General features: G+C 50.9%; 1 protein-coding gene across 1 annotated transcript in view; it reads right to left on the bottom strand.

Moving 5' to 3' along the window:
* The window catches only part of STXBP1 (syntaxin binding protein 1), an 84,118-nt gene that overhangs the window by 1,880 nt on the left and 80,991 nt on the right, over positions 1-1,247 (bottom strand). The window lies entirely within an intron of this gene.

Below are 1,247 nucleotides of genomic sequence, written 5' to 3'. Positions count from 1 at the left end.
GACCAGCCTGGACAACACTCCATCTCTCCAGAAAAATACGAAAGACTCCATCTCTCCAGAAAAATACAAAAATTAGCTGGGCATGGTGGCACGTGCCTGTGGTTCTGTGGTTCCAGTTACTCGGGAGGCTGAGGTGGGAGGATAACCTGAGCTCGGGAGGTCAAGGCTGCAGTGAGCCGTGATTAGGCCATTGCACTCCAGCCTGGGCAAGGGAGTGAGACCCAGTCTCAAAACAACAACAACAACAACAACAACAACAACAACAACAACAAGACAGAACAATGGGTGTCAGGGGAGTGAGCTTTCTGAATTTCTGCATCTCTCTGAGCCTCAGCTTCCTCATCTGTAGAATGGGAGAGGATCTGCCTAACAGACAAGTATGTGAGGGGCCTGGCAGGGTCAGTCAATGGTTGTTCCCTCCTAATGAGGCATGTCTCACCAGACTATAGCAGGCTGTGGTGGTGCAAATTCCACTAACTGCCCTTCAGTTGGTAGCTTTCTCAGTGCTATAAAGGAGATCAGGATCAGAATGAGAATGATGGGGGAAAAAGAAGTAGAGACAGAAGTCCCTACAAAGGGTCTCACTCCCCGGGGCCCAGCATTCTAGCAAGTTTCCCGTGTGGCCTCGACCCTCACTTACGGGTCCACTCTGAGAGCTGGGCCCACCTCACTGCAGTCTTCTCAGGTCAGGAGCAGGTTCCAAGACAAGCAGGACACACACCGCCTTCCATCCTGGAGAGAAGTTCATTATACACGTAGGGTGGGTGGTACGGCAGCAGGAGCAGAGGAGGAGAGGAGTAACGCTGGTGAAGTGATCTCACTGCATGCCCTAAATACACAGGCACCACATGATTGGAGAGGGAGCATCTGCAAAGATGGAGCCCTGCAGTGCCTGCGTTAGAAAAGCATTCTAAGGCTGAGGTGGGCGAATCACCTGAGGTCAGGAGTTCAAGATCAGCCTGACCAACGTGGCAAAACCCTGTCTCTACTAAAAATACAAAAATTAGCTGGACATGGTGGTGGCTGCCTGCAATCCCAACTACTCGGAGGCTGAGGCAGGAGAATCACTTGAAACCGGGAGACAGAGGTTGCAGGGAGCCGAGACTCGCCACTGCATACTCCAGCCTGGGCAACAGAGTGAGACTCCATCTCAAAAAAAAAAAAAAAAAAAAGGAAAGAAAGAAAAGCATTCTAGATAAGGAGAAACACGGTGGAAGAATGGCCTCATCTCTAGGCAGCACGCTGTT

This window comes from Homo sapiens, chromosome 9, assembly GCF_000001405.40.
Source record: "Homo sapiens chromosome 9, GRCh38.p14 Primary Assembly".
NCBI lineage: Eukaryota > Metazoa > Chordata > Mammalia > Primates > Hominidae > Homo > Homo sapiens.
This window is presented reverse-complemented; position numbering and strand designations above follow the sequence as displayed.